Genomic DNA, 21648 nt, shown 5'->3' with positions numbered 1-21648 from the left:
GCAAGCACCTTCGTCCCAAGCCCTGTGCAGGGGGATAGCTTGGGTCTAACAGTGCGGGCCGCTGCGTGCAGCTCCATTTTGTTTCCTGCCTGGGCCAGGGGCTTCCCCAGTCCTAGGTCAGCACAGCCAACCAAGAGGACAGGAGATGCGGAGCAAGCAAAAGTCAGGAAGCCAGGAGGCCACTTCCCAAGAAGCCACTTCCCCGGATGCCCTCCGCGCTGTCCTCATACCCATAGAAAGACAGCTCGGCTGCGACGTCCTCTTCCCACAGCCTCCCGGCCAGGGCCCTCCCTGCCAATCCTCCCCACAGGCCAGGCACAAGCTCTGGACGGAACCATCTCTCCTTTAGGCCTCACAATAGCGCTGCAATTTTATTTATTTTTAATTAATTAATTATGTACTTAGTTACTTTTGTATAGAGAAGGGGTTTTGCCATGTTGCCCAGGCTAGTCTCAAACTCCTACGCTCAAGCCATCCTCCCACCTTGGCCTGTCAAAGTGCTGGGATTACAGGCGTGAGTCACCGTGCCAGCCTCTGCTATTTTAATTTCATTTTCTCATGTGCTTCGTCCTGGCTATCAGAGAGTTGGACCGCAGAGAATCTTGTGAGTAAAAAGTGAAGGTAGCTTCCTCCGTGATCAGGACACTCCAGCTGGAACTACTGACAGTAACAGGTGCTTACTGGTGCACACCAGAGGGATGTGGGAGGGGAATGGGCTTCTGGGTCCAGCAAACTCTGCTGTTTTCTCATTTGTTGGTGGTTCCAGGGCATAGCCTTCAGCCCTGTAGCCAGCCATGGGGCCGCCCCCCAGTTTCCCTTTCCCACGGAGACATTCTCTGCCAATAAGATTCTCTTGGGTAGGCTCTGTAAGAGCCTTCCAGAGCATTTTCAGGCACGAATGAATGTCAAAGTGATGTGGGTGGAGGATGGAAACTGTGCGTGGAGTTATCTATTGGTACTTCTGGGCACTTCCATGCCCCACAACACATGCCATCAGCCTCATCTCAACCTTCTCTTGCTCACCCTGTGGGCCCCACTGAGATTGCCCCAGAGAGGATAAAAGGGACTATAGCCCTCATTCTTCCATCTCCTGGCAAACCCACACTTAGCCAGCTGTGTTCTCCCTCCAGCAGGGCAGGGCAATGCAGCAGCCAAGCCGAGGTTTTCAGTCCCATCATGTAATTACTGAGGGCAAGGAAGACTCCTCCAAGCCTAACTCTCCAGAAGGTGCTTTCTCACTGGAAACCTGGAGACCTGTTTAACTCCATCCCAGCGGTACCAAAAGGACGAGGGTTTGTAGCTGTATTTTTTAACTTGATGGAGGTAGACTTGGCATACAATAAACTGCTTATATTTAAACTGTACTAAGGGGTCCATTTTAGCTTAGGTATACAACCGTAACACCATCACCATGGTCAGGACAGGGAACAGATCATCATCCCCAGAAGCTGGCCCCCTTTCCTCAGTTGACCGCCCTGCCACACTGTTCCCCAGCAACCCCTGGTGTACTGTCTCTACAGACTCCTTGGAATTTTCCAGAGTTTTATAAAAATGTACTCTTTTGAGCCTGGCTTCTCTCCCCGCACATTAATTATTCTGAGACGTATCTACATCGCTGCCTATATGAGCAGTTCATTCCTTTCCATTCCTTAGAACTCCCTTGTTGGAAAATGCCATCTGTTGATCTGTTTACCTGTTGATGGACATTAAGGCTGTTTCCAGTTTGGAGCTATTACAAATAAAGCCGGGGTGACCTTCGGGTCTCAATCTTTGCTTGGATATCTGCTTTCATGTCTCATGGGTAATCTTTAGGGGTGGAAGGACTATCGTGTATCGTTCTTCATTTAAAAAAAACTGCCAAATTATTTTCTAAAGTGTTTCACCATTTTACAACCCCCTCAGTGATATATTACAGTTTCAGTTCCTGCACGTCTTCACCCACACTTGATAGGGTCAATCTTTGAAATCTGTGTCAGTTTAATAGCTGTGTGATGGGATCTTATCATGGTTTTAATTGGCATTTTCCTATTAAATAACGATGTTGAACAGGTTTTTGTGTACTGATTTGCCATCCACAGATCTTCACTGGTGTAGCATATGCTCCAATCTTCTGCCTATTTTTTAAATCGAGGTGTTTGTTTTCTTTCTTTCTTATTTATTTTTGACACAGGGTCTCACTTTGTCACCCAGGCTGGAGTGCAGTGGCATGATCATGGCTCACTGAAGGCTTGGCACAGTGGCTCATGCCTATAATCCCAGCACTTTGGGAGGCCAAGGTGGGCAGATCACATGAGGCCAGGAGTTCAAGACCAGCTTGGCCAACATGGCAAAACCCCGACTCTACTAAAAATGCAAAAGTTAGCCGAGGGTGGTGATGCAAGTCTGTAACCTCAGCTACTCAGGAGGCTGAGGCACAAGATTCACTTAAGCGGAGATCGCGCAACTGCACTCCAGCCTGAGCGACAGAGCGAGACCCTGTCTCAAAAAAAAGAAAAAACCAAAACAAAAATATGGCTCACTGCATCCTCAACCTTCCGGGTTCAAATGATCTTCCTGCCTCTCCCTCCCGAGTAGCTGGAACTACAGGTGCACACCACCAGGCCCAGTTAATTTTTGTATTTTTGGGGGACAGGGTTTCACCATGTTGCCCAGGCGGTCTTGAACTCCTAGACTCAAGTGATCTGCCCACCTCAGCCTCCCAAAGTGCTGGGATTCAAGGTGTTAGCCACTGTGCCCAGCCTGTTAATTTTCTTATTATTAAGTTTTAAGAGTCTATATATTCTGGATGAAAGTTCTTTTTCAAATACATACATTGCAAATATTTTCTGAGGTCTATGGCTTATCTTTTCATTCTCTTAAAAGTGTTGCAGGAAGAGAAGTTTTGATTTTAATGACGTCGTATTTATCAATTTATTATTTTATGATATCATCATTAAGAATTATTATTTTTATTTATTTTATTTTATTTTTTTTGAGACGGAGTCTCACTCTGCCGCCCAGGCTGGAGTGCAGTGGTGCCATCTCGGCTCACTGCAAGCTCTGCCTCCCAGGTTCATGCCATTCTCCTGCCTCAGCCTCCCGAGTAGCTGGGACTACAGGCGCCGGCTACCACGCCCGGCTTTTTTGTATTTTTAGTAGAGACGGAGTTTCACCGTGTTAGCTAGGATGGTCTCGATCTCCTGACCTCATGATCCACCTGCCTCAGCCTCCCAAAGTGCGGGGATTACAGGCATAAGCCACTGCGCCCGGCCCATCATTAAGAAATCTTAAACCAGTGTCACAAAGATTTTCTCCTGTATGTTCATATAGAAGTTTAACCGTCTTAGGTTTTACATTCGGGTCTATGATGTATTTTGAGGTCAGTTTTGTATTTGTTGTATGGTATGAATTGGAGTTTTGTTTTGGGGGTTTTTTTGTTGTGGTGGTTTTGTTTTGTTTTTTGAGACAGGGTTTTGCTTTGTCACCCAGGCTGGAGTGCATTGGTATGATCTCGGCTCACTGCAGCCTCGACTTCCTGGGCTCAAGTGATTTTCTCACCTCAGCCCCACAAGTAGCTGAAACTACAGGCACACATCATCCACCTAGCTAATTTTTTTGTATTTTTTGCCATTTTGCCCAGGCCGGTCTCAAGCTCCTGAGCTCAAAGTGATCTGCTCGCCTCAGCTTCCCAAAGTGCTAGGATTACAGGCATGAGCCACCACACAAGACTGTGGGGTTTTTTTTGTTTTTTTTTTGCATATGAATATCTAATTGTTCCAGTATCATTTGTTGAAAAGACTATCCATTCTTTTCTGAATTGCCTTTGCGTGTTTGTCAAAAATTAGGAGTCTTTATGTGTGTAGATCTATCTCTGTGTTCTCTGTCCTGTCCCATTGATCTGTTTGTCTCTCTTCTTACCAAGACCACGCTTTAAAAAATTACCATAGCTTTATAATGAGCCTGGAAATCAGGCTGTATCAGCCTACCAATTTTATTCTTCTTCAGAATTGCTTTAAGTGGCATTATCCTAATAAATAATGAAAATTCTTTTTCAGAATTGCTTTGACTATTCTGGGTCTTTTTGAATTTCCATATGAATTCTAGAACCAACTTAGAATGAGTTTATAAATTTTTATTTTTAAAAGCCCTTCTGGGATTTCACTTGGAATTGTGTTGCTGTGTAGAATAGTTTGAGGAGAAATGACATCTTACTAAGTCATCCAGCCCATGAACAAAGTGTATCTCTCTATTTACATCTTTAATTTCTCTCAGCAATGTTTTGTAGTTTTTCTTGTACAGACCTTTCATATCTCCCATCAGATTTATCCCTAAATTTCATGTATTTTGATGTTATTGGCATTTTTTTTTCAATTTCTGATTATTTGTTGCTAGTATGTAGAAATGCAATTGATTTTTTTATATTGATCTTGTATCCTGCAATCTTGCTAAACTCACTTATTGATTCTAGGAGCTTTGTTGTAATAGATTCCAAGAGATTTCCAACATAGATGATCATGCCATCTGCAAATAAAGTTTTACTGCTTTCTTTTCAATCTGAGTGCCTTTCATTTATTTCTTTATCTTTTTTTCCTTTTGCCTGTTTTCTCATCTGTCTCATTGGTGTCATTGTACCAGAACAATGTTGAACATAAGTGGTGAGAACACACATCCTTGTCTCGTTACTTTTCTCAAAGGGAGAGAATTCAATCTTTCACCACTAAGTCTGATGGAAGCTATAAGATTTTTGCACATTGAGGAAGTTCTCTTTTATTCCCAGTTGCAGAAGGTGTTTCTTAGAAATGAATGTTGAATTTCATGAAATGCATTTTCTATGTCGGTTAAGATGATCACATGGTTTTTCTTTTTTAATGCATTAACATGGTGAATTACATTGATGGATATTCTTCTTTTTTCTTTTTTGAGACAAGATCTCACTCCATCACCCAGTGATGCAGTGACACAATCTCGGCTCACTGCAACTTCCGTCTCCTGCCTGGGCTCAAGCAATCCTCCCATCTCAGCCTCCCGAGTAGCTGGGAACACAGGCATGTACCACCACACTCGGCTAATTTTTTCTATTTTTAGTAGAGACAGGGTCTCACTATGTTGCCCACGCTGGTCTTGAACTCCTGTGCTCAAGCAATCCTCCCACCTCGGCCTCCCAAAGTGCTGCGATTGCAGGAGTGAGCCACTGCACCTGGCCACATTGATGATGGATTTTCAAATGTTAAACCAATTCTATATTCTTAAAATACAATTACCGCATTTGATAATAAATATTTTTCATGTTACATATTGTTTGATTCAATTTGTTAAAATTTGCTAAAGATTTTTGTGTCTATGTTAATAAGAGATATTTGTCTACAGTTTTCTTTTCTCGTAATAACTTTATCTGGTTTTCATAAAACCAAGTTAATGCTGGTCTCTTAGAATAAGTTAGGATGCATTCCCTCCTTTTGAATCCTCTAAACAGTTTTTGTAGAATTGGAATTATTTCTTCCTTAAATGTTTGGTAGAATTTACTATCAAAGCCATCTGGGCCTGGAATTTTCTCTGTGGGAAAGTTTCTTTTTTAATTTAATTTTTATTTTTAGGGACAGACTCTTGCCCTCTTGCCCAGGCTGGAGTGTAGTGGCACAATCATAGTTCATTGCAGCCTCAACCTGTTGGGTTCAAGTGATTCCCCTGCCTCAGTATACCAAGTAGTTAGGACCATATGCATGTGCCACAGTGCCAGGCTAATTTTTTTTTTTTTTTTTTGTATAGAAGGAGTCTTGCTGTGTTCTCCAGGCTGCTCTTGAACTCCTGGCCTCAAGCGATCCTCCCACCTGGGCCTCCCAAAATGTTTGGATTACAGGCGTGAGCCACTATGCCAGGCCTTCTGGTGGAAAGTTTCTAACAACAATTTTTTTCATGTACATACAACTATTTAGGTGATCTGTGTCTACTTGAATGAGGTTTCATTGTGTGTGTGTGTGTGTGTGTGTGTGTGTGTGTGTGTGTGTTTTGTTTTTGTTTTTGTTTTTTGAGACAGAGTTTCACTCTTGTTGTCCAGGCTGGAGTGCAATGGCACCATCTCGACTCACTGCAACCTCCGCCTCCCAGGTTCAAGTGTCTCCTGCCTCAACCTCCCGAGTAGCTGGGATTACAGGCATGTACCACCACACCCAGCTAATTTTGTAGTTTTAGTAGAGATGGAGTTTCTCCATGTTGGTTGGGCTGGTCTCAAACTCCCAACCTCAGGTGATCCGCCCACCTCGGCCTCCTAAAGTGCTGGGATTACAGGTGTGAGCCACTGTGCCCGGCCTATAGTGTGTTTTTTTTAGAAGGAATTTAAGAATTTCTGCCTTTGTACAACTTAAGAGACATCCCAGAAATTCTATGTTTTTTGTTTGTTTTGTTTTGAGATGGAGTCTCTCTCTGTCACCAGGCTGGAGTGCAATGGCACAATCTCGGCTCACTGCAACCTCTCCCTCCCAGGTTCAAGCGATTCTCCTGCCTCAGCCTCCCGAGTAGCTGGGATTACAGGCATGCGCCACCACACCTGGCTAATTTTGTATTTTTAATAGAGATAGGGTTTCTTCATGTTGATCAGGCTCGTCTCGAACTCCTGACCTCAGGTGGTCCGCCTGCCTCGGCCTCCCAAAGTGCAGGGATTACAGGCGTGAGCCACGGCAACCGGCCTCTATGTTGTATTTTAACTTTCATTCAGTGCAAAATACTTTCTGCTTTCTCTTTTTATTCCTCTTTGACTCATGAGTTATTTAGAAATGTGTTATTTAGTTTCCAAGTGCTTGGGAATTTCCCAGACATCTGTCTGTTATTGATTTCTAATTTCATTCCACTGTGGTCAGAGAATATACTTTGTGTGACTTGTATCCTTTTAAATATACTGAGACTTATTTTATGACGCAGAATATGATCTATCTTTATAAATGTTCCGGGTACGCTTGAACGGAATTTGTATTCTGCTGTTGTTGGGAGGAGTGTTCTATAAATGTCAGTCAGGTCAAGTTGGCTGATAGTGTTATTCAAGTGTGCTATATCCTTGTTCCATCAAGTTTTGAAAAAGGGATATTGAAATATCCAACTCTATTTGCAGACTTGGCAATTTCTCCTTGCAGCTCTCCCAGACTTTATTTCATGTATTTTGCAGCTCTGTTATTAGAAACAGAGCTATCTGGGGCCGGGCGCAGTGGCTCACGCCTGTAATCCCAGTGCTTCGGGAGGCCGAAGCGGGCAGATCACGAGGTCAGGAGATCGAGACCATCCTGGCTAACACGGTGAAACCCTGTCTCTACCAAAAATACAAAAAATTGGCCAGGCATGGTGGTGGGCGCCTGTGGTCCCAGCTACTCAGGAGGCTGAGGCAGGAAAATGGCGTGAACCCGGAAGGTGGAGCTTGCAGTGAGCCGAGATGGCGCCACTGCACTCCAGCCTGGGTGACAGAGAGAGACTTGTCTCAAAAAAAAAAAAAAAAGAAAGAAAGAAAGAAAGAAAGAAAGAAAGAAAGAAAGAAAGAAACAGAGCTATTTAGGATTGCTGTGTCCTCTGGATTAATGACCTCTTTATCATTTTAAAATGAACTTTTATAGCACTGGTGATACTCTTTGCACTGAAATCTACCAGTCTAACATTGATATAGCCACTCCAACTTTCTTTTGATGTGCATTATCATGGTGTATCTTTTTCCATCCTTTTACTTTTTTTTTTTTTTTTTTAAGATGGAGTCTCTCTCTGTTGCCCAGGCTGGAGTGCATGGCATGTTCTCGGCTCACTGCAACCTCCGCCTCTTGGGTTCGAGCAATTCTCCTGCCTCAGCCTCCCGAGTAGCTGGGATTACAGGCTCATGCCACTGCGCCCAGCTAAAATTTTTGTATTTTTAGTAGAGACAGGTTTCTCCATGTTGGCCAGGGTGTTCTTTTTCTTTTCTTTTTTTTTTTTTTTTTGAGACGGAGTCTCTCTCTGTCGCCCAGGCTGGAGTGCAGTGGCGGGATCCTGGCTCACTGCAAGCTCCACCTCCCAGGTTCACAGCATTCTCCTGCCTCAGCCTCCCGAGTAGCTGGGACTACAGGCGCCCGCCACCACGCCCAGCTAATTTTTTGTATTTTTAGTAGAGACGGGGTTTCACCATGTTAGCCAGGATGGTCTCAATCTCCTGACCTCGTGATCCACCCGCCTCGGCCTCCCAAAGTACTGGGATTACAGGCGTGAGCCACCGCGCCCGGCCAGCCAGGGTGTTCTGAAGCTCCTGACCTCAGGTGATCCACCCTCCTTGAGCTCCCAAAATGCTGGGATTACAAGCATGAGCCACTGCACCTGGCCTCATCCTTTTACTTTTAACCTATTTGTGTCTTTATCCCAGAGGGGCATTTACTGTAGGCGGCATTGGGTCTTGCTTATCTGTGAATGGGAGCGTTTATCAATTTAATGTGATTATAAACTTAGGTAAATTTAAGCCTATTGTCTTACTATTTGTTTTCTAGCCCACCATTCTTTGTTTTCTTTCTCCTCTTTTTCTGCATTCTTAGGACTACTTTATATTTTTTATTATACCAGTTTATCTTTTTGTGGGCTTATTAGCTAGAACTCTGTTTCATTATTTTTGCCATTGCTTTAACATTTACAGTCTACCTCCAAGTCATATACTGCTTCACCTGTAGTATAAGAACCTTCCGTTTCTCCACTCCCAATCTCTATGCTACTGTTACACATTTTACTTATATATTGTAAACCCTACGATGCACTATCAACATTTTTAACTATCAATTATCTTTTAAGAAACTTAAAGAAAAAAATTGAATATTTACCCATATAGTTACCATTTTTGGTGTTCTTTCTTTGTGTAGATCCAGAGTTCTAATATCATTTTGTTTATGCTTGACGGATTTCTTTGACATTTCTTGAGGTGTGGATCTGTTGGTGATGAACTCTTTCAGCTTTCGTTGGCCTGGGTTTATTTCACCTTTGTTTTTACACGATATTTTCACTGGGGCTAGAATTCTAGGTTGACAGTTCTTTTCTTTAAGTGCTTGAAAGATTGCTGCCCCTCTATCTTCTTGTGTGTGTTGTTTCAAACAAGAAATCTGCCTTGATCCTTATCTTTGTTTCTCTGTTTGTACCATGTCCTTTTTCTTCTGGCTGCATTTAAGACTTTTTTTTTTCTTTACTACTGGTTTTGAGCCTTGGTCGGTTTTTTTCTTGTTTTTGTGCTTAGGGTTCATTGAGTTCCTTGGATCTGAGGGTTTACAGTTTTCATCAAATTTGGAAAAATTTTAGCCACTACTCTTTCAAATATTTTTTCTGTACCCCCCGCCCCCCGCCGCCCCCCACCGCTCTCTCTCCTCCGTTTCAGGCTCTGGAATTACCTCCATATTAGGCTGCTTGAAATTGTCCCACAACTCTCGATGCCATGTTAACTTTTTTGGATTGTTCTCCCTCTCTGTATGTTTTATGTTGTATAGTTTCTGTTGGTAAATCTTCAAGCTCACTAAGCTTTCCTTCTGCAGTGTGTACTCTGCCAATGGTCTCACTCCGTGTAATTTTCACCCCACACATTTCATTTCTAGAAGTCCAATTCAGTTCTTTTGTAATATCGTCTGTGTCTCTGCTTAACTTTTTGAACGTATGAGAGACAGTTCTTTTTTTCCTTTCTTTCTTTCTTTTGAGGTGGAGCTGACTCTGTCACCCAGGCTGGAGTGCAGTGGTGCAATCTTGGCTCACTGCAATCTCCACCTCCTGGATTCAAGCGATTCTCATGCCTCAGCCTCCGAAGGGATTACAGGCATGCACCACCACACCCGGCCAGTTTTTTGTATTTTTAGTAGAGGTGGGGTTTCGCCATGTTGGCCAGGCTGGTCTCGAACTCCTGACCTCAGGTGATCCACCCACCTCGGCCTCCCAAAGTGCTGGGATTACAGGCGTGAGCCACCACGCCCAGCCAGGGAGACAGTTCTAATAACTACTTCAATGTCCTTTTCTGCTAATGCTCACATCTGGATAAGTTCTGGGTTGGTTTTGATTAATTCATTAGTCTCTTAATTGTGGGTTGTGTATTTTTTGCCCCTTTGAATGCCTGGTAAATTTGCAGATGTTGTGAATTTTACCCTGCTTGTGTGCTGGAGGTATATGTATTTCTAAAAATGTCCAGCTTTGTTCTGGGATGCAGTTAATTTACCTGGAAAGAGTTTGATCCTTTTGGATCTTGTTTTTACCATTCATTAGGTCTGAAGCAGCATTTAATCTGGGGTTAATTATTTCCCTCATGGAGGCACTCGCTTCTTGAGAAACCTCTCCAATGCCCTGTGAGGATGAGCATTTCCAGGCTGCTTGGTGGAAATGGACACTAGTCCCCGCCCTACATGAACGCTGGGCACTGGTCTCCCTAATCTTTTTGGACAGTTTAAGATTTTTTCTTTCTTTCTTTCTTTCTTTCTTTTTTTTTTTTTTGTTTGAGACAGAGTCTTACTCTGTTGCCCAGGTTGGAGTGCAGTGGCATGATCTAGGCTCAGTGCAACCTGTCTCCCAGGTTCAAGTGATTCTCCTGCCTCAGCCTCCCAAGTAGCTGGGATTACAGGCGCACGCCACCATGTCCAGCTAATTTTTGTATTTTTGTTGAGACGGGGTTTTGCCTTTTTGGCCAGGCTGGTCTTAAACTCCTGACCTCAGGTGATCCACCCGCCTCAGCCTCCCAAAATGCTGGGATTACAAGCGTGAACCACCACACCTGGCTAAGATTCTTTTCTTTATTGCTGGATTTGAGCAGCCTCGTGTAGTTTCCTTCTGTGCATGAACTGATCAGGCCTCTGCTGGATCCTTGAGGGGCACCCCTGTCATTCCCCAGGGCTTCTCTCTGTGTAGCTCTTTCCCCCCCAGGGCTCTGTCCTGAGAGCAGTAACTGCTTCGGTCTCCGGAGATGCTCAGCTCTGTCTCCTGAACTCAGGAAATCCTCAGGCTACTGCCTGCGTTTTCCATCCCTGAGCCACAGCCTCACATCTCACCCAGGGAAGTAAGCTGGGGCAGTGGTAGGACACATTCATGTTTTTCACCTTTCCATAATGTCCAGTGTCCTGAGCCAGGTCCATCTGTTCCATCTAGTGTTGGTGGTTGCTTCTCACACATGTGGCTGTTCCCTGTGACTCTGTCCCAACCAGAAATGGGAATTCAGCAGCCACATTGCTGAGACATCTTCTCACCTCCCCAGTGCCCACCCTGACCAGCACCCCTGCCCCCCACCTGCCAGCTTTAATTATCTGCATTCCGTTTAGCCCGACAAAAAGGATGGAACCTGCCAGTGGGGGGACCCCCATTGTTTGGCTGTAAAAACAGCCCCCTGACTTTCTCCAGAAAACCAAGGAACAGTCCAGACACGGCATCTAAGGTGGTTTGGAGGGTCACAAGCACTCGGGCCCCAGCTCAGCAAAACTGCCAGGACTCCAGCAAATCGTGAGGGCATTCACCACGGGGTGGATGTGAGAAGTGTGGGGATGGGACAGGACTAGGAAGACACTGAGTGTCAAGACTGCGGGGCAGATGCAGTCCCTGAGAAGAGGCTTTGCACAGTGCAGAAGGCAGCAGCTCTGAGGGCACAGACTCGTGGGGAGAATGACAGAGATGTGGAGGGTGGTCTGCCTTGGAGGATGAAAGTTTCTACCAATTGCTCTTTTTCTCTAGGTAGAAAAAGGGGACCGGCTCTGGAGAGGGGCAGGGTGGGGCCGGGCTCCCTAGGCAAAATCTATTCCTGAATGTCCCTCGTCCTGTGGAGTGGCAGTGAGGCCTGAAACCCCCTGGCTTCACCCCGCGGGGCCAGGTCAGGACAGCGCGGCCAACCCAGGGCTGAGGCAGGGCAGGCTGGGCCTCATGCAGCATGTACCCAGGCAGGGCCCCAGCCATGGCGCCAGCAGGGTATCAGTTAATCTCCATAAGAGGCTGGCGAGGGTGGGTTCTTGGCCCCATTTTACAGATCAGGGGCCAGATTTCCCAAGCTGCTCAGCTGACAGATGGCGACAAACCAAAGGGCCGACCTGAAGCCGGTCTGTGCTCCAGCCGTGGGCCTCCACTTCACTGTCCTTGAGATCTCAAAACCCCTACTCCCAAAATTTCCAGGCTGGGTAGCCTCTAGAGGCATCCTGGCCCCCAGCCCCTGACTTCTGGCCCATTGCCGTGTGCCCACTCAGAGAGGGAGCATGGAAGACCTTTCCGTCTCCCTTCGGGCCTTATAAGTAAAACCCAGCTGCGCTTCCCTCATGCCATCTGCACCGGTTAATGATAGATTGAGAGGATGCTGGCCTGGCCATGGGTGAGGGTCTGTCCTAAATAGGACATGTCAAGTGCCCAGCAGGATAGCTCTGTGTCCTGGAGTAAGACAGGTGTGGATCTAAAATTGGAGGAGCGGAGGTGGCGTTGACTTTTTCCAACCTTGGTTCACCCATCCCGCGCCTTCGGCCGGGAAGGACCTGACAGGTGGTCCCAGCCCCTGGGCCCATATGCCTGGATTCCTGTGCTCACAGCAGAGGCCCTAAAATAGACCAGGACATTATACACCATGTCCACAGTGCCCTGCTTCTCCGTGAGGAGTGGCGCGGTTTCCGCCTGGAGTCACAGGGGCTAATCCCTGCTCTTCCCCAAGCCTGTGGCGGATCAGGGGAGCCTGGGTGCCGGGCGGGCCTGGCCCTGTGTTTCTGTTCAGCTGCCTGTTCCCTGTGGGTTTGAGGGCAAGTCACCTAAGTCCTCTGAGCCTCATGTTTCTTGTTCATTCCTGTTTCTCTCTGCCTTTCCCTCTTTAGAGCCTGGAGACATGCCTTTCTCCCAATTAAGTGCCTTAATTATTTGCCATCTTCCTCATTCCAAAAATCCCACAGACAGGACTTAATTCTTCCATCGACACAGAATACCCGGAATTCCGCTATGAGCAAATTCACAATATCCTCTGAAGCCTGCAATTTTCTTCTGCCTAAAGCCAGCTGACGCACACAGGACAGAGCCACGGCTGCCTGCATTTCCTAGCGGAGTACATGATTCATCATTTTCAGACTTGGGGATCAGGGGGCCGGGCAGGGCCTTTATCTGGTGGGAGGCAGGGCGCAACTTCTGCTGATTGCAGACTGCGCAGTCTGTTGTGGCCGATTCTTACAGGAATCCTACAAGAGAGCTCGCTGTCCTTGTTTCACAGCTAAGGAGACAGAGACACAGAGCTAAGAAATAGCACACTCAAGTTCACACAACCAGTAATGACCAGATTTATTACAATTTCTCCCAGTGTCTCAATCTGGAATCATGTTTGTCCCCTCTAGGGCTATAGAAACTGCAAATGATGGTTTCTTATTCTCAGCCCTGAAGCTACCAGTTGCTGAGATGTTGAACAGGAGCTTCCTGGCACTGTGTCCCGTGTCCGGGGCTATTTTAGGTGTCAGAAATTCATGCACATTTAGCACATGGCCAGGACCACTGGAGTATCCCTCCTGCCCTGCCTGTGCTCCTCAGCCCACCCCAAGACCCTCTTCCATTTCCTGCTAGGCAGCAGATGGAGGAGGATAGGGTCTTCACCTGACAACTCCTACCCCTGAAGAAACTCTGGCGGCTTGAAGCCCAGGTCCTGTGGACACTTTCTGACCTTCTGTCCATGCCTGTAACCTCTGGACCACCCTGAAAGGTTTCTCTAAAGTGGTTGCCTCTGTTAGACCATAGAAGCTGGCCAACTAGCTGATCCCCTGTCTGGAAAGCCTGATGGCTGTAACCTGCCTTCCTGCAACAATTTGGACAAACATCATCAATCTGCAGTTTCTTAACAGGATCTCATTTGTCCTGGTTCTCAGGCAGGGGTGGTAGGAGCCGAGGGCAGGGCCTTGGCCTGCAGGACTGTGTGCGCATCAGCAGCGAGCAGCCATGTGCAGACTGCTTTGACATGCGTCATCCTGAATGCTTTTAGCCACCCGTGGGAAGAGAATGCCAAGGGCCAGAGGAGACAGCTTGAGCCCACAGTCTTTGAATTCAGGTCTGTTTTTGTCTGAAATTCACAGCATATCTTTTTGGGAGGTTCAGAAATGTTCACCTTTCAAATCCTATGCCCAGGCTACCTCCCTAGCAGACAGTCAAGGGTGGCACCAACATGAAGTGCCACGTCCCAACCTATGTTCAGGACCTGGTTTGGTTCCAGGCATCTGAGCACTTCCAACAGGTGGTAGGACCACCCAAATGTCCCCCAGCCACAAGTGGAGCAGGCGCCACTGGGAGGAGGACAGAGCCTGTGCAGACCGGAATGTTTAAGTGCCTGCAGTCTGGTTTCAGCTTTGCCTCCATGTGGGACCTACATTTATTGGTCTTTTTATTAATAACTGACCAGCACCAGGCTCAACAGCAACTCTGGTTTTTGCAGACTTCTTCCCATTCTTCAATCAGAAGCTTCAGGGGTGCAAGAGATCTTTAGGAGAAGTTTCCTGAGCCCCATGGTCTGCGGAGGTTTTCTTTCCATTTGAAACAAGTCTTTGAAGTCTGAACAATTCTCCTGGAGGGCTGCAGGCCTGGGAGTCAAAGCATTTCAGGGATTTGAGACCACGCACGGAAGGGAAGGCCACTCAGTCTTTCCTGAGCTCACGGCCCCTTCATCCATCTGGGATGAGGGCCTCCCCTGAGTACAGGCCACTCAGGCTCCTGACACCACCCTGCAGAAGTCCTCCGTGGCCACAGCTTTCTGGAGCTATGCTCAACCTCACTACAGAAACATCTGCATTCAAACCTGCCGTTAAATTTGAGGAGATGGCCTAATCCTGGATGTGCACCCCAAGCCCTACTTAAGAGGCCTCTGAATTCATCAGCCCCAGATATCCCTTAGACTTCAAAGCCATCCTCTGGATTCCAGGGGGCAGCCAAGAGGTTAGGGTGATGTAACATCTTGATGAGTTGGGAGGGGTGGCCGTCCCAGATCAAGTGATGCCTTCCAGGAACCAGGGACAGATTTTAGGCAGAGACCCACAGTACAGACATTCCCGGCCTTGCCCCGCCCTGTGCTAGGTGAGGACGGGGCTATGCCCTCCCTCCAGTGACCTGAGACATGCATGGAGCTCTGGACAGGAAGTCCTCCCCCAAACCCTCTCTCTTGCAGGCTGCTGGTCTCCCAGCACCATCACGGGAGGGCAGCTCTGTGTGCGCAAATACACGAACACCAAGGTGCTGCTTCATCTATGGGTTTTAAAGAGAATTTCAATATGATTTATCTTCCAATACAGGAACTTGGCAAGATCTGCTTGTTCCAGGATCGGGAGAGCCTCAGAGCAAGGTCTGGGTGGCCCTGCAGGGGGAGAGTCAGAGGACAGCGGGAGGTAGCCGGCTGGGGAGGCCTCTCCCCACAGATGGCAGGAAATGGGGACAGGCCGCCAGGCAGGATTGGCCCAGGCCTTGAGGCCACAGGGGGGCCCCACCTCCAGACGTGCCTGGCCTGGGTTTCCTGGCCTTTGGCGCTGGAAGGCCACACAAAGATGGTATTCATGGTGAGGCCTTAAATTCTCTCCGGAATGAGGCAGGGTTTAAATAAATACATAAGAAGGTTGGATCCTGGGCCAGACTGAGCTTGCACAGGGCGGTGGGTGCTGTGAAGGCCGAGAGAGAGAGAGGGTGCCCCTCCCATGCACACCCAACTTTGTGCAAAATTAGTAAAAAAATGTTTCTTCCATGTCAATTAATGGGGAACTCCCGTGCACCCCCATTCAGTGAGAGTCGTGAAGGATTTGTGTTTGCGGATAGCTCTAGGGGCTGACCATTTACTGGGTATTCTCCATGGGTCAGGCACAGACTGGATGTTACTCAAGACTATAAGGTGGGTAGTAGGTCCTGGGATTCACCCGTTTATTCCTTTACAAAGAGTGACTGGGCTGAGGGCACTATTAAGTATTGGGGTTGCTGGGATGAGAGGACTCCGAGACACACTCTGCTCTCATTCAAGTCACAGTGGGGACAAACAATTAGAAAAGGAGACACCGAGAGTCAGCCCCAGAGCCTAGCTCGTGCAGGCGTTGGGGTGAGTGAAACAGGTTCTCAGCTCTGCTTTGCAGATGGGGAAACTGAGGCAGAGACTTGCATTAGGAAATGGAAGCTAAGTGCTGCGTCCTGGAGGAGGTGCATTCTTGGGGCTTGCAGGGCTGCGGGAGGGGTGCTGAACCCTCCGCTGTCATGCGGGGCACTGCCTCCGGATCTTCACCCCGCTAAGCCAGCCCAAAACTGCAGGAAAGGCGTTAGAATGACCTTTGACTTCTGAATGGCGTAGTCCAGGGCCGGGGGCCCAGTGACTCTTTGCTTGAAGCAGAGTCTGTAGTTTTAAAGGCTCTGAGAATGGCAAGAGAGCAAAGATGGTGGGCCCGGCCCGGCAGGCGGCTGGCCATACCAGCTCCCTCTCCTAGGGCCTGGGGGAAGCTTTGCGATGGGGTCCGGCAACTGAAGAATTGCAAACATTCTTCCTGTCTCCCTTGATGGTTCTGGGTTCCAAAAGCCAGACGCTTCTAAAGAGAGAGGTTTTGGAAAAGCTAGGACACCCTGCAATCCTGCCACCCAGAAGGTCATGCCTCAGGGACGGGGAAGAAATGTGGGGGAAAGTTTTGGTCTCTTTTCGGGAGAGTTAGGAGATTTCCCCTTGGAAATGGGGTTTTGTTGACGAGTCCCCATCTCCCAAAACCTCAGGCACTTTACAGTTACCTCACTTGAAAGGGGTCTTTTAAGAAATGCATAAACCCCCAGTGGGGTCAACTCCGCCCAATGGGGTGATAAATGAGAAGTCAGATGGGTCAGGCAGGACGCTCTGACAGACGGATGGGTGGTCACAGCCACTCCAAGAATTATTACACCATGGAGCAGGGCTCCACTCCCCTCAAAGGGCCTCAAAGGGCCACGGAGAAGGAAAGTGACAGCGTGCCTCCCTCTGCATCTGATATTATGTTCAAAAAACATGTGGGCTTTGCTTCCTGTGCCATTCTGCAGCCTCACTAGTTTCAGTATAATTTTTTAAATCACATGCCATTATTGAGGGTGTAGATTGGTGTAACCTTTCAGATGCAACATTTCAAATGCCCTTTTGCTGAGTTCGGCTAAAATGGATGAGGTGTTTGGGGCTTTTTTCTTCCAGCACTATTTGTAATTATAAAAAATTGCAGTGACCTCTGTGTCCATCATTAGAAAAATGGCTGGATGAACCGTGGTGACACCCATTTAAGGAATACTATTCACTATCCTGCTGATAGACAGGGAGAAGTGGAACGGCGTGTATGGGCACGGGGAGGAGTGAGCGCCTCGCCAAAAGCAAAGGCAAGTTGAAGAACCGTGTGTGTGTGTGGGGCGGGGGGGATGATTCCATCTGTTTAAAAAAATGTGCATATGTACATATTTATTTAAATGGCTGTATATGCCTAAAAATATTTGGAAGGAGCCACAGCAACCAGTTAACAGTGATTATTTTGGTGGGGAGCATACATTCTTCTGTATTTGAATCTGTGACAAGAAGTCACTTCTGTCACATCAAAAATAAAGATTTACAAGAAATTCCTTACGTTTGGATAAAATCATGGCTCTGGGGAAATACACCCTATCTACCCTGTGGCTCCGGTCTCATGCCCGGGGGCACTGCCACTGGATGCTTGGAGGTCCCCCATCCCACATCCCTGGCATGCAGGACACAGACTCGGGGCTCAGCGGCCCCTCTCTGGGCTGGCTGGGCACCAGGGAGGACATCAGCCAGTGACAGCTTCTGGTTAGACTGGCCGAGCTCCTCCCTTCTTTGGAAGTGGGTGGACAGCAGGGCCAGATGCCTCCGAACGTCCCCCCGGAGGGATAATGGGCCCCATTGTCTGGGAAGAGGAGGATGCCTGCCCCTTCCTGTTTCCTCTCATCCCACGATCCAGAGCAGCGTCCAGTTGTGACGGAGACAGAGAGTTGAAGGAGGGCACACTTTCTTTGGTCTCCTCCCACCTCTGTCTTAAGAAATTCACATTCAGCCACCTCTAAATTTTGCCAAAAAAGCAAGGGGAAGTTGTACCAACATACTCCCTGCACTGCACAATGGCCGAGACCAGCGGAGGATTCGAACCTTGGCACTATGGCGCCAGGACACAGGGCACCTTAGGCCCAAGTGGCTGAGAAGGGACCTGAGTTCTGAGTGACTTCATCTGCGGGGACTTGGCACAGCCCTGTGCTCCAATGGACAGGACACGCCAGTGCTGGGATCATAAGGCTGGCAAATGTGCCAGATGCAAAGGCAAGAACAGGGAAGAACAAGGGAATGGCAGGCCCAGGAGCGCCAGGGACTCGCCGTGCTCCAAGGAAGGCTCAGGAGGAGGTTGAGGAAGGTCCTGGGGCCATGCATCTGGGAGCTCAAGCCCTCACTGCTCAGTCACCACACAGTCCTCCTCCATCATGGCTGAGGCCCCTCACCCACATGCCAATGGGGGGCCTGTTGGCTCATTTTAGTCTGCTCCACTTAGGAGAGCAAAAGATGACTGCCTCATTTTCTAGAGGAAAAAGACAAAGAACAGGCAAGAAACAAAATGGGCTCATCATGGTTGTCTGTGTGGCTGCTCAGCTGGGAAGAGCCAAAGGCCAAGGCTGGAGACCCGGGTGATTGCAACAGTTAAAGGGGTACAGGGCACAGTGCCCAGGGACATGAAGCAGAGGGACAGCAAGGAGACTGCTGGGCAGAGTCAGGAAGGAGGGAGCTCCAAGGATGCGGAGGGGCCAGAGAGGCCGCAGCGATCAAGGCTGCAGACTCTGCAGTGTGATGAGGACAGAGAGTGCCCCTTGGATTGGTCACGGGGAGAATGCCGTGCCGTGGGATTCTGCAGGGGAGCAGAAGGCAGGGGGCGAAGTGCATTTGATATGAAGTAGAGTTGGGTCAGTGGAGACCCACTTGAGAGACGAGGCTGGGAGGGGCAGCCCGAGTCACCCCAGGGTGCTTGCATGCCAGCAGGGGAGAGTCTCAAGTGTGTCTGCAGACCAAGGAAGAGGAGCCACCAGATGGGCAGGGAATGGGGAGAGCAGAAACAAAGAGACAAGTGCTCTCCACACCCACTGGCAGATGTGCTGGGAGCCGGCAGGGCAGAAGGCGTTGGGGTTTGCCATTTCCACATGACAGTTCCCCCTGTGATATGACTCCAGGAGTGGGGTTGAGGAGACATGGAGACAGAGGTTACTGAACTCCAGAAGACCAGGAAACAGTGAGGAGGCAGACAGAAAAGAGACTCTGCAATGTGACAATAAGGCTGGTATGCCCCATTGTGTAGTTGCACATTATACCACTCACAGCAAAGTCTGAATTGTGCAGTGCACAACATGCGCAACTGTACTTGCTGGCCCTTTCAGGAGCTGGATGTGCCATCCATGTGCTTGTGAATCCCCCAGCATGATGGCTGTGCGTTGAGAGAGCAGGATTGTAAGTCAGGCCCCCAAATGCTGCTGTGTACACAGAAAGGTGGCTCCAGGGAATAAATAAGGAGCGTCAGGGCTGGTGGACAGGTCTGGGAATGCCAGCTGCTCCAGCCAGAGACAAGCAAGGGAGGTGAGAACAAGGACAGCCTCCCCAGAGGGAACCAAAAATCCCAGTGACAAAAGCAGTTTACACCCAGGGCCGAACACAGCTCTGGACACAACAATGACAACCCCCATTTGACAGACAAGGAGACTAAGGCTCCATGAGATTAAACACTTGCCCAAGGCCACAGAAATAATCATAGTTGGAGGCAGCATTGGGATCTGGGCCTAGAACAGGATGGCCCAGTGGTCAGGGGCTAGCATCCTTCCAGATCGCAGCCGTTTGCACGTGTCCACACTCGGTGCCTAGCCCGCACGTAGCCCCTGGGCCTGGATGGGGCCTGCCTGAGATCTCCAGTGAGGATAGAGAAATCAAGTCAGCCTTAATTAAGTCACACACAGGGACTGGGGGTCCAGAGGGGCCACCACCTGCCCGCAGCCCTCATTGTGCACAGTTAATCCTGTCCAGGTGTCTGCTGGCAGCCCCTGATCAATTAGTCACTGCGATTGAAGCTGAGTGTAATTAATTATTCAATTTTGAGCTGTTCCAGCTTAATGCATCCGAAATGACATCATGCAGCCTGGGCTTTCTGCAGGCGGGGGACAAAAGGCAAACAGGTCTGAACAAAGCCCCGGTGCACCTGACCCTCTCAGTCGGCGCTAATCCTCGACCGCCCAGAGCAAACCCGCTCACCTCACGCCGTCGCCATCAAAAAAACCCTCCCCAGCAGGTGCACAGCCTCACACGTTGGGGCTGCCGGCTGGCCCGCTCTGGAAGCCTCGACCTCCGGGTCAATGGACCCTAATTCATGGGTCGCCACCCCAGCTCCCCTCCTCAACCACACTCTCTCAAGCCTGCTCTGCTGTCCCTCCCCAAGAGCCCGAAATCCTAGCCCTGGCACAGCTTTTGGAGGAATGATACAGGCCTTTCTACTGTGGTCACGGCTCTGCCCCAGCCCCAGGCATGGCGGATAGACTGGGGCTTCCTGTCGGGCCTTCTCTCCCACACAGGGCCCTCACCTTGGGGTGCAGGCAGGGGCATGAGCAGGCCAGAGGCCCACCTCCTTGAGTCTTTCAAGGGGAAGTAGTGGGAATAGAAGGTCCCTTAATCTACCTTGATCTGTGCTGCTGAGCCCAGAGAGCTTCTGGGGGCTCTCCTTCCCCCACTCCTCCTGTCCTCCTCTGCTGTGGCCTGGGTCCACCCCCTCACCTCCCTAACTGGACCCCAGTTCAGGTGTCTGCCCAAAGTGACAACATTCTCTCCTGAACCATCCGTGGTTCCCTGTTACCTCGCTCCCTTGCAAACCCTCAGCCCTGCTGTGAGGCCCCAGGGCCTCCACCCTGCCTTTCTCCTGACCCTCTTTCTCCCCGATCCTGCCTCTCACGGGCTCCAGCCCCTCCATGTCCGTCCCTGGCCTTTGAGGCTTAGAATGGTCCTTCCAGGCCTCAGTGGCCCACCTCTGCCAGCCCCACAAACCCCTATCCGGCCCCTCACTTTCCTTGGAAACCTGTCTGTCCCTCCCCTGGTGCCTGCAGCCCCTCTGGGTGCCCACAGCACTCAGAGCCCTGCCCTGATGCTCCCCTTATCTCAATGCATCTGAAACGAAGCGTGTGTTTGCATAGTGGCTGCAGCTTGCACAGGAGTGGGGGCAGCTGCCTCTCTCCCTCGGCTATGTGTGGGGCACCCAGCACAGCGCTTAGTACATAATGGGCCCTCCAGCAATGTTTGTTGAATTCATGAAGGAAAAAATGATTAAATCAGCCAAATTGAACTCATTATCTCCCCCTTCCTCCATGCCCGAGAGGGAAACCCTGGACCCTGCAACTGGGATAATGGTGTCATTAGCAGCCTCAGCCCTCCCAGCTGCAACTGGGCCATTTCCACCCTCTCATCTCCTTACTGTCCACAGCCAACGAGTTACCAGGCCGGCTCAGAAAAAGACCCCCATTCCTGTGTCACCTTCCCACCCATTTCCCTGGCCTAGTCCAAGCCTCATTGTCTCTTACCAGGGCCTCACCCCCACCAGGGGACCTTGCCTCCAGCATCATTCCTCCAGCCCACCCTCCAAATAGGCCCCTAAATGGGCTTTCTGAAATGCAAACTTGGGCATGAAACTTCTGGCTTTAAAATGCTCAGGTGGCCCAGCAATTCCACTTCCAGGAATA

The 21648-nt window shown here is 49.0% G+C and overlaps 1 annotated feature.

Moving 5' to 3' along the window:
- Positions 18233–18763: an enhancer, noted in NCBI's record as "H3K27ac-H3K4me1 hESC enhancer chr14:101251634-101252164 (GRCh37/hg19 assembly coordinates)". NCBI's record gives its function as "activates a minimal SCP1, AML or CMV promoter by ChIP-STARR-seq in naive H9 embryonic stem cells {active_cell/tissue: H9 hESC(naive)}" and the evidence as "EXISTENCE:reporter gene assay evidence [ECO:0000049][PMID:30033119]".

This window comes from Homo sapiens, chromosome 14 (assembly GCF_000001405.40).
Source record: "Homo sapiens chromosome 14, GRCh38.p14 Primary Assembly".
In the NCBI taxonomy this organism is placed as follows: domain Eukaryota; kingdom Metazoa; phylum Chordata; class Mammalia; order Primates; family Hominidae; genus Homo; species Homo sapiens.
This window is presented reverse-complemented; position numbering and strand designations above follow the sequence as displayed.